Source organism: Homo sapiens, chromosome 11, assembly GCF_000001405.40.
Source record: "Homo sapiens chromosome 11, GRCh38.p14 Primary Assembly".
Taxonomy (NCBI): Eukaryota; Metazoa; Chordata; class Mammalia; order Primates; family Hominidae; genus Homo; species Homo sapiens.
The window spans coordinates 78947710-78963676 of record NC_000011.10 but is presented as its reverse complement, the minus strand read 5'-3'; the positions used below and the strand labels follow the sequence as shown (position 1 = coordinate 78963676).

General features: G+C 45.4%; 1 protein-coding gene across 9 annotated transcripts in view; it reads left to right on the top strand.

Moving 5' to 3' along the window:
- Positions 1-15967, top strand: part of TENM4 (teneurin transmembrane protein 4) — a 788202-nt gene that overhangs the window by 477354 nt on the left and 294881 nt on the right. For 4 of the 9 annotated variants that reach the window (XM_047426742.1, XM_047426741.1, XM_047426740.1 and 1 more), the window contains exon 2: positions 1324-1534. The exons of the other annotated variants lie outside the window; for them this stretch is intronic. In XM_047426742.1, coding sequence (XP_047282698.1) covers positions 1324-1534 — 211 coding nt within the window. The remainder of the gene's footprint in view (positions 1-1323; positions 1535-15967) is intronic. 9 annotated transcript variants of the gene reach the window in all.

The window sequence follows — 15967 nt, the reverse complement described above, 5'->3', positions numbered from 1 at the left end:
CTCTTGTGTGGACAGACCACAAAAAGCTTCCCACCCTACCCTGCAAATAATCAGCCGCTCTCTGTGCCACCTCCCCCTTAGAGCCCCGCTGAACCTTAAGATGGCCCACTGGGTCTGCATTATTTTTCCTAAGGTTCAGTCTGTTTGAAAAGCTGGATGGATATGACTATGTTATAAACCTTCTGTCACTCAAGGTGGGAGAAAATGAGCAGCCCTTGCTGTAAGTGGTTGCATTGTCTTGTACTGTATACTTTTATATGTCTGTGCTTATGTTAGCTCTCTTATAGACGATGTACTGCACATGTTGAAAGGTCAGCCACAGATAAGACTGCAAATTGTCTGAGCTCAAAGTTCTTGTCCCAAGCCATCGCCTCCTCCTTCTGAAGAGTTGGGAGTTTGCTCATAGAACTATAGAAAGCTGGGGTTTTAGAACCGTGGCATGATAGAAACTTGGGGTCAGACTGACTGATTTACAACATCTTGGAACTCACAGAATGTGAGTGTCCTAAAATTATAGCATGTTCTAATCTTTGAACATCAGAACTTAAGAATCCTAGTATGTGAGACCCCCTAGAATTAAGCTAGTCAACAAATACTTCTACAATGCCTACTATGTGCCAGGCATTATGTTAGATTCTGAATATAAAGACATGAACAAAATTTCCTAAGGGTCTTGCTTTTAGGCAGGTTCCAGAGAATGTCAGAATTTAAGAATCATAAAATGTGAGATTCTTAGAAAAATGAAACATTGCTGTGTTGAAATCCTAGACTGCCAAAGGTGAAGCCTTGAATCATTCTCTCCAGCTCTCTCTACCTTTTTACGAGGCCTAGGGCCTGTTCCAGGCAGGTCGGAATAAAATCTCAGTAATAGGAACATCATATCAGTTCGGTGACATCACAGAATGGCCAGCTTATAGGGGCTCAGGGATCACCCAGTCCCCACTGCTGCTTTTATCAGCGAGGCCACTGAGGCCAGAGAGGGGCAGCTGTTTGATAGATCACCTAGCCCCGTCAGGACTAGACCCCGGGTTTTCAGGTATGTCTTAAAGAACAGGCAGAACAGAAAAGGCTTTCCGTGTGCTTCCGAGATTCCCTCTTTGCCAGCCTGCACTGAGGCCCCAGCTCTTCAGAAGGAGTTTGCAGCAACTTTCTCTGTGGAGGCATCAGCCCCGCCCCCGGCCCACGTGTGCAGTAGATCGCCCCGTGTTGGGAGCCCCCCCTTCCCGTTGATGAGTGTTTTATTTTGCTCCCTCCCCCTCCCCGTGTGCCTCAAAATCAATTTTCATTATTTTTTCTGTCTGTGTTTGTCTTTGTGGTTCGCAGGTGCTCCCTTGCATTGTTCATCCTGCTTCATCAACCCCTATTGAGCAGTCCCCCTCCCCGCCCCCCTCCCCTCCGGCCAATGAGAGCCAGAGGCGGTTGCTAGGCAACGGTGTGGCCCAGCCAACCCCGGACTCAGACTCTGAGGAAGAGTTTGTCCCTAATTCATTCTTAGTTAAAAGTGGCTCCGCCAGCCTGGGGGTCGCGGCGAACGGTAAGTCCCTCTCTCTTCCTACTTTTGAGGGTTTGTTTTTAAAATTGTCCTTCCGTTGCGGATGCCTGCTTGGGCCACTTGCCGGGCGGAGGGGCCTGGTGCGTGGTGGGATCCGGGGGAGCTGGGGGCCTGACGTGGCTCCGCGGGCTCAGGCAGCCCCGCTCTTGCCCCGCGGCGCCGCTGGAGTGTGCAAGAGTTGGAGGGCTGCTTCTGTCCCCAACCCCCATGAGAGACATCGGACAGGCAGATGTACCGACAAAGATGCACAGACAGACATCACGAGAAGGAAACATCAGGTGAAGGCCCAGACAGGTAAAGGTAGAGACAAAGATTGACACAGACAGAAAAAAAAAAAAAAGGTTAAGACATAGGCAACACCAACCAACTACCTACTCTGTGCCAGGGACTGTGCCAGGCACTGTCACAACCATGCCCAGAGACTCAGTATTTTAGTGTCCCCATTTTCACTGGAAAAACTGAGAAGGATTACCCCATTACCCATAAAACAGCGCTGGCTTTAAAAGTTCTCCAGTTTCACAGAGCCTGGAGACAGGCGGCCCTGAAGCCCCAGCCAGCTGCAGGGCTAAATGCCGGCTGCAGAGAGAGCCACTGGGTTTAAGCATGGATCTGCAAGCTCTCTTATTCTGAGCTCTGTCCTGGTGTTCTTAAGGTGGGAGGTGGGGTATGGCAGAAGAGCTCCAGGGTGACCAGCTTGTATCCCCTGATCAGGTGCTGTTAGACTTGAGCCAAGGTGCTTGCCCTCTCTGTCCAGCAGAGGCCAGTCAGCTTCTTTGCAAGGAAACCCAGGAAGGAATTCAAACCTCTAAGAGGTGGGGCAGGATGTACATGAGGTAACCTAGGATCACCTTAATAGCCCCAGGATTTCCTGATGTTTGGAGAAGAGAGGAAATGAAACTGTTTCCCCACAAATAACACTGTAGGTTTTGTGTTGATTTGGCAAACATTTATTTATAAGTGCTTGTGTGGTACTAAATTCCAGGCCAGATTCTGAAAAAGGAGGCAGAGGTTCAAAGAGGGATAAGACAGTCTATGGGCTCTGGAACCAAACAGCTTTGAATTACATACAAGCTTTATTGCTGTGGGACATTAGATAAGTCACATTGCCTCTCCAGGCTTATTTCTTCAAGGGTCAAGTGGCCATTGTAGTGCCCACCTCATGATGAGCACCCATCACAGTGCCTGGAACACAGAAGGAGTGTGGTAACTGTTAGTCATTGCCTGGTCCCCTCCACCTGCCTCTAGGGGATTTACAGACAGCCTGTCTGTGAAAGCTCCCAGCACACTGCTTGGCACTTGGGGATGCTCCAAGAAATGTCAGATGCCATCTTTTCTCTTGGGAGTACATCATTATAGCCGAAGGTGGCAAAGGCGGTAGGAACCTAGTATGTTCTGTGACTGAGGAAGAAGCCTCTACTCTGCCTAAGAGAATTAGGAAATGCCTCCTAAAGGAGGCACTTACAGGACTTGAAGAAATTAGTGAGGTGTGCCAGACAGAGATTACCAAGGGTGTTCTGGGCAGAGGGAACACATGGACAAAGAACTTGAGGTGGGGACAAGGGAAGCCTGCCCCAGCTCTTTTAAACCTGAGAGCCTGGGCTGTAAATAGGTGTGAACCTTGGAAGGGTATGGAAGGCCATGTGGTGAAAGTCACCTGAGCTCTTCTGAGAACTGGCTTGAGTTCCCCCACCAAATGACAATGAAGGGCGGTCATTACCTACCCTCCTTTTCTAGCTAGGACCTCCCCGCTTCCACTGTCTTTGGAAATCAGAGAGATCTTTGTCCTTGATGATTCTCTTCTGACAGGATTTTACACCCTGCATTCTCCATGACCAAGACCCAAACCTCCTCCTTTTTTCTCAGTGCTCCCTGGGGTGGGCTTGTTTTCTTGGTGGTTCAATGTCCCTACTCCTCTATGCCTTTTAGCTGCCTGTGTTTCAAATGATGCACAGAAACACAGGAACCCTGGGCTGGGAGCAAGGAGACCTGGTTCCAGACCCAGCTTTGTGGCTCACTGGCTATTTATCCTTGGCAAATCACTGTCTTTCTAAGCCTCAGTTTCCCCATTTTGCCAGTGATGGAGCAATTTCTAAGGTACCCTGATTTTAGGAGTGTCACAAGTTATTCCTGCCAGTAGCCTTCTTAAGCTTATGGGGTAGGGGGGAAATATATATATATGTGTGTGTGTGTATATGTGTAATGATGTTCTTTGTTCATTTCTGAGTAAGCCTTACACGTAGAAGAGAAGGCAAGAGATTAAAGTCCTTAATCTCTTCCTTTGCAAATTAGTGAACAAGAGCAATCACTTTGTTGCGAGTTCTAAGGCAAATTGATGACATTATTGCATTATTGATGTGCAGGGAAGGAGATGGGGGACTTTAGCCTGCAGCTGTCTGCTCATTGCTGCTCCTCCATGCTCCTGCACCCCAGGGGACCTTGTCACTTTGGATCCCTTCCCCAGGCCCTTGCTCTGAATGTCACTCTAAAAGTTGGTAATAAGCATGTCTCATGCCTGAAGGAAGAGTCTGGGTCCTTACTGGTCTGTTCCTCTGGGGTTGGGATCATGAGAGAGCTCAATGAGTCTCTGCCATCTGGACCCTGCCTACTGCCTTCCTCTCTCCTGAAACCCAAAACCAGGGATCTTCTATGAGCCAAAGGACATGCTGGTACTGGTGTGGACTCAGCACTAGTGAGTGAAGATTAGAGGGCCCTGGTACGTAGATGTAGCAGGCCTAATAAATGCTTTTATGGTTTTTAATTTGATTTTTTTCATGGAAAAAATGTGAAATTATTTTAATGGAATTATCTTTATTGTTTCTGCCAATTATAAAAGTAGCAATGCTTGTTAACATTCAAATAATATGGAAAGGTAAAATGTTAAGTTCTCTTATAATCCTTCCTCCGAGATATAACTACGTTTAACAGTTTGGTGCATGGTTTTTCAGAGACTTTTAATTTAGTGCTCATTGAATGAGTGAGTGAATGAACCAATGAGCAAGCAATGCTTAAGGACCACAGTGTAGCAGAGAGCTATAGCCATTGCTCTAGAGACAAGCCTGAAATTGGATCCCAGATGTGCAACTCTAGGCAATGTTTCCAACCTCTGAAAGCATTGGTTGCTCCATCTGTGAAATGGGAGAAAACCTTCCAAGGTTGTTGTGGTATTTAAAAAAGTTGAAGCTGATAAAACTTTTCTATCTCTCTTCCCTATCTCCACACCCCCATCTCCTTCCACCAATTTGAGACCTTGGAGACCACCCTCAACAGAGCAGTTGCTTTAGGGCCAGCTGGGACTGCATTCAGATTATATTTTAAATTACAAAGAATGCCTCTTTGGCTCCTAAAGGGTGAAAATGAGACAGTTTCCTATGGTGGGAGCTGAGGCTGTTGGAGCCAGCCTTCCCGGGAGCTTGCGCTGGACTCTCCAGCATCACCCCAGAGGCCCTCTGCCCACAGCTGTGTCAACTCCAGCCTGAGCTGCCATCCCAGATCTGGTAGGCCTCAGAGCTGCCCTGCTAAAATCCCCATGTAAAGTGCAAAGAGGACCGTGGGGTATCACAGAACAGCTCATTGTCCCTGTGGAGAAGAAAACAGGGGAAGTAGCTTTTTCTCTTATCAAAATCCTAATCCTTCCCCAAGGGTAATCATCCAGAAATCACTGATATATATAAAGAAAGATTTCACTAAAATATCAACTAGTCACAGTTGAAAAAGCAAAGGAAGTGGTTAGGATTAAGTAGGTATTCGTCCCTACCCCATAGAAACTTTTCAGAATAAATATTAAATGTTTCGTGAATTGTTCTCATCTAAATTCTAAAGCAAAGGGGCTTTAAAAACTTGGTGGTTAATATTTAAGAGGGTCGGGGAATAAATAGCTCTGAGAGATGTGTCAGTTTCTCAAAGCCTAGGTAAGGTAGTGGGTGGGTGGGAGAATTGACATTTAATAAGGACTTTCTATGTGCTCGAAGTCTTTCTATAAAACATGCATTATCGTATTTGTGTCTCAATTTATGTCCCTTTCACTGTTTAGGAAACTGAAGCTCAATAAGGGGCAGTGACTTGCCCATTAGTCATTGGTCATAAGGGCATGGAAAAGATTCAGGCCCAAGCCTGTTTGACTCTAGAGCCCCATTTTTTTTTCCTTCTGTTGTTTTTTTTGTTTTGTTTCAAATATCAGATCCTGTTACTTTTGTCTTCTCCTTAGTAGGAGTTTGAAGAAGATAAGAGGAATTCCACCAAAGAAAAGCTGGTTTTAAGAGAATTCCAAGTTGTTGGATTCCTTTTACCTCACAAACCTTTACGAAGCCCCTGTTATATGAGATGAATCAGACCAGATGACCGGGCACTAAACTTTGGTGCAGCTTCCTCAGAGCCAAACTTTGGATGCTGGGCCGTCCATGGGTCTTTTCTTTTTTCAGCACTGGGTCCTTACTGCCTTGCCTTACAAATTTCTCACTGGTCAGCATCACTGTTGTTTGGCAGTTTCATTGACTTTCTCAGGTCTTAAGCAGCTGGGATTATTTTGTTTTGACTACCAATCCAGTGGAGGAGTGTTTATTTTTCTTTCTAAATGGGAAACACTGCCATGTTTGTAAGCTCCTTCTAAAAGTGTTTTCTTAAAACAAAAAATTCAACTTAATTGAGAACCTATTCAGAGTCCCTGGGGGTGTCAACCAAGGTCCTTTTAAGTCAGTTTATGAAATCAGAAAGCAAAATTGTGCCTGTTTCTAACAGTTGAAAGGAAGGTCCAGTGAGATTTTTGTCTTCTTTCACTATGAATTTCGTGGAGCCTGGGATTTTGTTGTTGTTGTTGTTGTTGTTTCATGCCAACTGCAGTTACTTGGATGTGCTTCTTTACCTAGTTCTGAGGGTGTAGAACACTGGGGTAGGTAAAGTTTTCAGCAATGTTGTTCACCACTTCTCTCAACTCTCTTGCAGCAAAAGACCCTCGTTGGTAAATAAATTCTTACTACACCAGCTATGTAGCAAAGTTAAGTACCTAACTCCTGTTGGCAAGACAAATTGATTTCTTCCTTTATTCATTCATTCATGATGACATTTTAAATGTTTGTGGATGTTTTCCAGAGAGATGAGGGATGAAGGGTATTCTAAACAGAGAGACCCTTTAAAATTGGTATTTAATTTATTGGGTTAAAATTCCTTAAATGAAACCCTTGGAATCAGAAGCACTTTAGAATTTGGAAATGTTCAGATTTAAAAAAGAAAATGGAGTGCATATTTTGTATTTCTCCTAACACTCCTGCAGTAATCAAACACATCACTATTTCTGCCGTGAAACATGAATACTTATACTCATGGGATTTTAAAATGACTCCAAGCCTCATGTCAGTTCAGGTCAGGTTTTGCCTCTAAATGAGTTTTGGTTAAACATTTAGTCTCAGAGTTTTGGGGTTTCAGAATGATGGCTAATAGATGGTGATCCTGAATTGTGTCTTCTTAAAAATGAGGGAAGCGGAGCTCAGAAAGACTTAGCAACTTACTCATGGTTGTAGAGATAACTAGATAACTTGAAAACTAGACAGCATGATACAGGTACAAGTTGCTGACCAGGAAGCTCCATAGATGTGCTTATTGTTTATCCATAATCACTGCTTAGAAAGGCCTAGCCGCTCTGCTATAGAAATGAGAGTTCAGGAGGCCAACACCAGCAGGCTGGGTGGCTGTCAGGCCTGGAAATTCAGCAGGAAAGAAGCCAAGTGGTCAGAAGCCTAGAACTTGGCAACTCTGAGTTGATAAGGAGCATTTCCTGATAGACTGTCTGCTGTCGGGCCCCCTTTCTTTGATGCCCCACTGTCTTCTGTACTCACTCCTCCCTAACAGTCTGGGACCTAGTTATTCACATTTCTGGTTCCCTCGTGCAACTCCCAGTTCCTAGAGGTAGGCCTTGTGTACACTATCTCCAGGGCTGAGCACAGTGCCCTGTGTATGTGTATGTGCTAAAATCAAAATTGAAAAAAAAAGTGCTGATTTCCTTTCTTCCTTCTTTCCACCAGCACCCCGTCCACACACATGCACAGCAATAACCCTAGGAACGGGGCACTGAGGCACATACATGATACAGCTGTGGAGAGTCACAGAGATGAAGCGATTTGTCTAGGTACAGAGTCAAGATGCAAAGCATGGCCCCAGACTCCAGTGTTCTTTCCACTCTACCAGGTGCCTCCCTTAATTAGACAAGCTCTCACCTATGGCCTTCCACCTGGGGCAGACCATTATGGCCCCGCATTGAGGGCAGTGGTGACAACCTCACAGGGGTCACTTCTGTTTTTATACTGTTGACAAAGCCCTTTTTCATACATTACCTCTGGGAAACTCTGGTGACTCTAATTTAATTGCCACATTGGCTTTCTAGGAGGTAAGGCTTCTTCCTGACCTTGCAAAATAAACAGGTCACGTTTTGAATTAATGTAACTGAACATCCTGGGAGAACCAGGGCCCTCTAATTAGTCACTCATTGTAGACTCTTTGCAGTTCCTTTTCCACTAATTTCCCCAAATACCACTGCATTAAAAGGTACAAAAATAACACTTTTCCATGTATGGCTTGATTGGACCTAGGAATTCCTACACCACTCCCCGAGGAAGGCACATTAGCTATGTGTCCAGGCTTTCTCCATCTGGAAACTAAGCCTAGTTTGTGACCCTGTTGAAATGGTCATGGTCTGCTCCATGGATCCCTTGTGGACACCAGACCACATTTTAAACCATCTCCTGACACTTTAGGGCCCAGACCGTTGAAGAGGCACCTGGAAGGAGGCCAAGGAGAGTGTGGGAGATTAGTAGAACTAACATTTGTGTACCCTCTCATTCCCGAAGCTCGTTCTCCTCTGTCATCTCACTGGATCCACAGAAAAGTCCTGTGAGATTGGAGAAATGTGAAGGAGGGTGAACACTGTGTCCATGTGAGAAACAGGCTCAGGGAGATGCAGCTTAGCACAGAGCTGCCCCTTGGCCACAAGGCTTGGAACTAGTTTGGGCTTTGTTCATGGATGGTCAGTCCAACATGTGAGGCTCACTGCCATCATGTGAGGCCCGCTGCTATCATGTGAGCTCAGTTTCCCAGTTACAAACTTCATCTGGAGAAGCCTCATCATGAAAACCTGCTTACAGAGAGGCACAGGCCTGGAAGCAGGAGATCTGCTTTGATCCCAGTTCTGCCTCTAGCCTGCTGTGTCACCTTGCAAAAGGCTCATCTGTTGGTTCTTCGGCTTTCTAGTCTGAGCAGTGAGAGAACTGGATGAAACCAGCATTTCCCAAACCATATTCATTTCTGTGTCACTGTCTTAGTCTGTGCCACAGCGGTGTGCCCACCTAAATGGTTATTTATGTTCCTTTAAACTGCTGCCTTTTCCAAACTTTTTCTCCTTTAGTGAATTTTTTTATTTCAAAAGGAAATTGTATATTACTGCTGCATTCCACTTGCCATATGGCAAGTGTATGACTTGCCATAAATAGAAGGTAACTGTAAAAATAAATACTATGAAAGCAGGTTATCCCATTCTGGTGACAGAATGTCTGCTCAAGGACAGTGAGGAGAGATTTGCCTCTCTGCATTAAACAAGGACATTGGCAACTGATAGGTGGTGAAAACACACTAGTTCCCAACTTAGACTTCCTCTTTGACATCATCCAAAGGGTTGAAAGAAAATAGAAGCTATTCTGCATGTGACTCGGTGTTATTTAATGTTTGTTCTCACTGTAATCACCTGAAATCACATCCCTTGGGTACACAGCTCTGTGGCTTTTTCCAGTACTCTGTAGGATTTTAATGCTGCCCCCACACAGCCTGCTCACCTTGAGAATAAACATCTCTCGCTGCTCTCAGGCCCATCCTTCTTCCATTTCCTAAACGTGGTCTTTGGGAGCCATCTGTTCCCACCCTTCCCCAGGCAGCCCCCTGCCCTCTGCCCCTGTCATCATGTCTGAGCTGGGTGCTTTGAGCTCAGCTGGATCCCCCATTACTGGTTAATGGCTCCCAGTTTAAACCAGGAAACTTTGTGGCTTCCTTTTCTCCCTTCCCTTCCTCTCCTTCTGAACTGCCATTATTTATATAGGTGTTTGAGATTAAACAACTAAAAAAAATTCCCTCTGCTTTATAAGGCCTAAAAGGACTGAAGCCAGAAGAAAAACAGAAATGGCACAATGTGGAGCAATGGCAGGGAAAAATAGGTTGTGGAGGTTTACAGGTCTGTGCTGTGTAGTCTTGGGCAATTTGCTTCACCTCTCTGGGCCTCAGTCTCGTCTGTAAAATGGAGAATAGTACAGTCTTCTCTCTTGATCCACAGGGGATTGGTTCCAGGACCCTCCCCGCAACAGCAACCTCCAGGGATACTAAAATCTAGATGCTCAAGCCCTGATATAAAATGGCATAGTATTTGCATATAACTTACAGACATCCTCTTGTATAATTTAATCATCTCTATATTACTTATAATACTTAACAATGTGAATGCTATGTAAATAGTTGTTATATTGTATTTTTAAATTTTATACTTTTTTTTCTGACTATTTTTGATATTCAGTCAACCATTGGTTGAGTCCATGGATTTGGAGGGGCAGTTGTACTTCACAAAATTGTGGTATAAATGAGAAAATATGGATAAGGCTTCTCTCACAGTGATTGCTATATAATAGATGCCCAGTGAATGTCAGTTTCCTTATTCCCTTTCTGGACCCCAAAAGTTTTTGGCCAGATACTCCTGGGAGGCAAGCAGATTCCTACACTCTTACCCCTCCTGGCTTGGAAGAGCCCCAGCAATTAACAGCTCAGCCTGGGAGTCATGATCTTTAATCCCCCTCCCCCTCCTGGGTGATTTCCAGAGATTTCGGGTGGGACAGTAAGCCCAAGGCACCAGCTAAACAAACATAGCATGTAGTCTCAGAGACAAAGCTTCAGATGCTCTTGCTGGAGCCCGTATGCTGTTTCCAGTCCCCATAGTTCCAGCGATGGAGTGCTGATGTTTGGTACCAGATGAAACGCTGTGATGCTTTTTCCTTCTGGTCAGCTGGCCTTCCCCCAGAGTTGAAAGGAAAGGAAAATGACTGGTAATTCATTTATGCTCCACTCCCTCTTTCCTGGTGGATCCTATTTCTATAAATAACTCTGGGAAGCTGCTAACCAGCTAACAACAACAGTACCTATATTTGCACTTCCAGAAACCCTTCTTCAGATGCCCCAGTGGAACCTTGGGGGAATGCATACCTGATGTGAACCAAGCTCCTTTCCCCACTATCTCAGTGACCTCACCAAGCTTACCTCTCTTACCCAGTTGCCCATCTATAAAATGGGAATAAGAATAGCAACCTGGGGAGTTTGCTAGGATAAAGGAGAAACAGGAAAACATCTAAGACACTGAGATCAAGGCAGGTGTTTAGTGTTTACTGGTCTTCTCTTGGAAAATAATAGAGACCATTTTTAGGAGATAAGGAGGTTATCTCATCAAAACTAAAGTTGTGATCACCGGTCTGCTATTATCCTGAGAAGGAGCAAAAATGGAAGTGGAGATGATCCCTGTCTATTTGCTAGTTTTACAAAATGCTGCTCCTCTTAGCCAAAACATTCCTACTATGTCTCCTTTCTCCTGGACCGCTTCAGTAGCATCCTTCTGGCCTCCCTGCCCCTGTCTCTCCCTTTAATCCATCCCTCACGTTGTTCCAGCTGTTACCTCTCAAAGAGCCCCTGCTAGTGCCCTCCCTGGGTTTCCCGCTGCTGGCAGCTCGGGTCCTGATCCTTAGCAGGGCAGCCCCAGCCCTTCTTCCCAGAGCCCTATCCTTCCTCGAGTTTATTACTTTCATGCAGATTCAACACAGCCTCTGGTCAGTGTCTGGTGATGTCGGCAGAAAAGACCAAAGCCTCACTAATCAGAGTGAAAATAGGGAAGGTCTTTCTGATTTCGAGTGATATGGAGGAAAAATGAGGCTTGTTGACCCTCAGAACCAATTCAACTCAGCAAATTTTTTGTTAAGGACCTACTGTGTGCCAGGGTCCATGGAGGATAGAAAGCAGTCAGCTCACCCCTGTTGGGGAGACAGAAACACACTAAACAGTTTGCCCTGAAGCAGCCACTAGTAAGGGGAACTGGTGACGGAGTGTGCCAGGGTGTGTGGGGCTACAGAGGTGTAATGCAAACTGGGAGGTTGGGGGAACTTCCTAGAGAAAGGTGCTAACTACTGAGGAACACAGGCAAGTTTGCACATTCAGGCTTATCTGGAAGTGAACTTTACTTTTATGTATCTATAGGGCTCCTATGGACTGAATTGTGTTCACCATCAACATTCACCACCCTCAAATTCATGTGTTGAAGCTCTAACTCTCTATGTGATGGCATCAGAGATAAGGCCTTTAAGGAGGTGATTAAGATTAAATAAGGTCATAAGGGTAGAGCCCTGATCAGATAGAACCAGTGTCCTTATAAAAGAGGAAGAGACCCCAAAGAGCTCTCTCTCCTCCATGTGAGACACAGCAAGAAAGTGACCATCTACAAGCCACGAAGAGAGCCCTCACCAGAAACCGAATCCCATCAGAACCTTGATCTTGGACTTCCCAGCCTTCAGAACTATGGGAAAATAAATTTCTATTATTTAAGCAACCTAGTCTATGGAATTTTGGTACAGCAGCCTAAGCCGACTAAGACCAGAGCTCTGGTATAAGGATGAGCCTAGACATACAGACTTTGCATGTCTGTTATTTGTGTGTAACCAAATGCTCCCAACCTAATTGTGGGGTCTGGAAGTGTTTATTTCCTCCATTCATTCATTCATCTGTCCATTCATTTAGCAGACTCTTCCTGGTGTGTGCTCTGTGTGGGGTCCTGTGCTGGAGAGTGAACTCTGGTCAGACCTCATCTGTGCCCACCATGGGCAGCCATGTGCATTGGGCACACATGAAGGAAGCACTGCAGTCCTCTGCGCAGACAGGGGGACAAGGCAAGGCTCTCTTCCTTTCTAGGAAGGAAGGGCTGCCATGGCAAAGGCCAGCTTTACAGCCCACTCTCCATCCATCCCCTTCCAGCTCTCAGGGAGCAGCCCTTGAGCACGCTGCATTTTCCCGGGGTTTGATGTGGGAGGAGACAAGCAACATAACCTGCAGGCAGGTGTGCTGGAATCAAAGAGGGCCTGATCACACCTTTGGACAGCAGAACAGATGAGCAAATCCCATTCCTGAGCACCTACAGTGTGCCAGGGGCTTCGCCTTTCTCATTCCATTGAGTCTGCTCAGCTGGGAGGCTCTAGAGCAGAAGAGCTAAGAGTGTGGGTTTGAATGTTGGCTCTGTCATTATTAGCTGTGATCTTTAGCAAATGCTTTTAACCTCGGAGTTTTCATTTTTCCCTTATGTGTAAAACAGGGATAATATTAATAATACCTACATCATTGGTGGTATTAGAATTCAATGTGAAATAATATATGTGAAGTACTTAGCAAAGTGCCCAGTTATCGTACAGTCTTAATAAATGGAAATTTCTATCATTGTTGTCATTTTTCTGGTTAGTGTTTTACTCAACAGAGCCTAAGAAAGATACAATAACTTGCCCAAGGTCACAGAGATAGTAAGTGGCATTTTTGCATCCCAGGTGTGCCTGGCTCTTCACAATCTTTTCTCACTCCCACCAGACTGCCTCCCTTATCTAACAGCCATCTCTCCCTTTCTTGACAACCCTCAGGCAGCCATAGGGTCTAAGGGAACCTCTAAAGCAGATCAGGGATTTATTCTCCCCCCGCCCTGCACTATACCCTACCCTGCTGCACAGAGGATCAAGCTGCATGCACATTTTGGGAGCAGTTTATGACCCCTGGCCAGAGGCCCCTGAATGGAAACCGCTGAGTTGCACTCCGGCTCTCTGCTCTGTTCAGATGCCTCTATTGGGCCCTGTGTGGATGACAAGATGATGCATGAGGTCTGGCTAAGCAGCTTATTTGTCTGAGCTGGTGATGGCCTTTGTCCTGAGGTGGGTTAATGGTAAGGGGCAGTGGCCCTTTAAGGCCTGGACAATGGGCAGGCTTCTCAGGTCATCAAATCACTCAGTGGAATGGCCCTGAGTCCCTTAGAGCCCCCTCAGAACACAGGAGGCCTCTGCTGACCCTGCTCATCATCCATTGATGCACCCCCCGCCCCGCCAACCAAAGGGGAACACTGGAATAATGGAGAGAGAGAATCAAAGAGCATTCAAATGACAAAGGACTTCAGAGGAGGAAACCGAGACAGAGAGAGGACAGTGATCATTCCTGACTTCCCACCTCCCCCTGCACCCAGTTCTGTACTGTGCTTTCCTAGCTTGGCTTGTTTCTTTCTCCAAATGCAGCAGGCCCACAACTAACCAGACCAGGCTGTTTTTCCCAGCTGTTCCTTTCATTGCTGAAACCTAATGCTGCAGATTTCAGTTCCAACTTCACCTGGCAGCCATGGCCTACCAGAATTCACCCTTTCCCTACTTCTTGAGCCCCTCTGATCCTTCCCCAAGCCCCTAGTCTTGTGAGCAACACCATTTAGCCTCTGCTGCCTGCTTCAACAAAAGCAGCTTGCTCCCTTTGATCAGTTTCCTACATTTGCTTCTGAATAAAGATCCTATTTAAAGATAACTTCTAATATTAGGATTTTTTCCAAGTTTGAAACCCACTGATTTAGATCAACCCTTTTATTTTATGGAAAGTTGCAGAGCTGGGATTCAAATCCACGCCTTCTGATTCCCAATCTTGACTTCCTCTCAATGTATGTATTCATTTATTCATTACACAAAGATTTCTAGCACACCTACTGTGTGTCAAATACTGAGCTGGTCCCTAGAGTACTGACATATATAAGACAGTGCTCCTGCCCTCAAGGAAGGGCCTGAGCATTAACATCCAGTCCTGCTGAGGGTTCAAAACGCAAATATGAAAATGCCTATTGAGTTTGGCATCCATGTGACCACTGGCGACTTTGGTAAGGGCATTTTCAGAATGTGGAGGCTAAAACCAGAGGAGGATAGATGGGAGGGGAGCTGGCAGAGGCAGTTTAAGTAAATGATCTAAAGAGACTGGGCTTTGTGTCACAAATTACTTACTAATTACAAAGGGAAAAGAGTTACTTTATAGTGGGGAGATTAGGAATCACCACCTTAACCAAGTGACCAAACTTAGCACTCCATTAGTGAGCCATCCTAATATGACGCAGTAAGATGTACGTCTCATCACACATGAGGTACACTTGCCAAAAACATGTAACCTGAATCCAATTATGAGAAAACAATCAGACACATCCAGAATGCAGGACATTTTACAGAATAACTGGCCTGGACTTTCAAAAAGGCTAATACCATGAACAAAAGGACTGATGAGTATTTGGGTGGGTAGGAGGCTCTGGTAGATTAAAAGAGACTAAAGAAATCAGCCAAAAACTTGACTCTTACAAGTGATTGAATCCTGTTTTTCTAAATGCTATAAAAAAGACAGTTGGGGGCCGGGCGCAGTGGCTCACGCCTGTAATCCCAGCACTTTGGGAGGCCAAGGCAGGCAGATCACGAGGTCAGGAGATCGAGACCATCCTGGCTAACACTGTGAGACCCCATCTCTACTAAAAATACAAAAATTAGCCAGGCGCGGTGGCGGGTGCCTGTAGTCCAGCTACTGGGAGGCTAAGGCAGGAGACTGGCATGAACCCGGGAGACGGAGCTTGCAGTGAGCCGAGATCACTGCCACTGCATTCCAGCCTGGGCAACAGAGCAAGACTCCGTCTCAAAAAAAAAAAAAAAAAGACAGTTGGGAAGAATTGGAGAAATTTTAAACTATAGTATGTATGTTAGGTGATATGGAATAATTATTCATTAATAGTCATATTGTGGTTAGATGATAGAATGCTCTTATTCTTAGGAGATGTGTGCTGATATAAAGTGTACTGAAGTCTACAACTTTCAGATGATTCAGAAAAACTTTTTATGCATCGAGATGAAGTAATGTGGCAATATATTAACTGACAGATTTAGATGAAGAGTATATGGGCTTTTCTGCACTATTCTTTCAACTTTTCCTTAGGGTTGAGATTTTTCAAAATAGAAAATGGGAGTGCCTGTACTTAGATTGGCTAGAGACTGGACAATAGCAATTGGGTTTTGGAAAGATTTCTTGGGACGGGTGAGATTGGGTGCTTTTTTTCATGAGAGCCCACCCTCACAACCAAGCAATGCTTTACACCAAGCATTGACTTCGCCTCTTGGAATACAGAACCCCTCCAAACCTTTACAGAGAACCGATGGTTTGGCAGTTGTGATAAAACAGGCCCTTCCTGGGCATGGAGGGAACTTCAGCAAGGCACCGGATCCAGTAATGGGAACCACATTGGCAGAAGTGTAGGGAGCTCCACCCCAGAAATAGCCCTTCTGTGCCGAGGCAGGACAACTGGAATGAATTATGCACATTCAT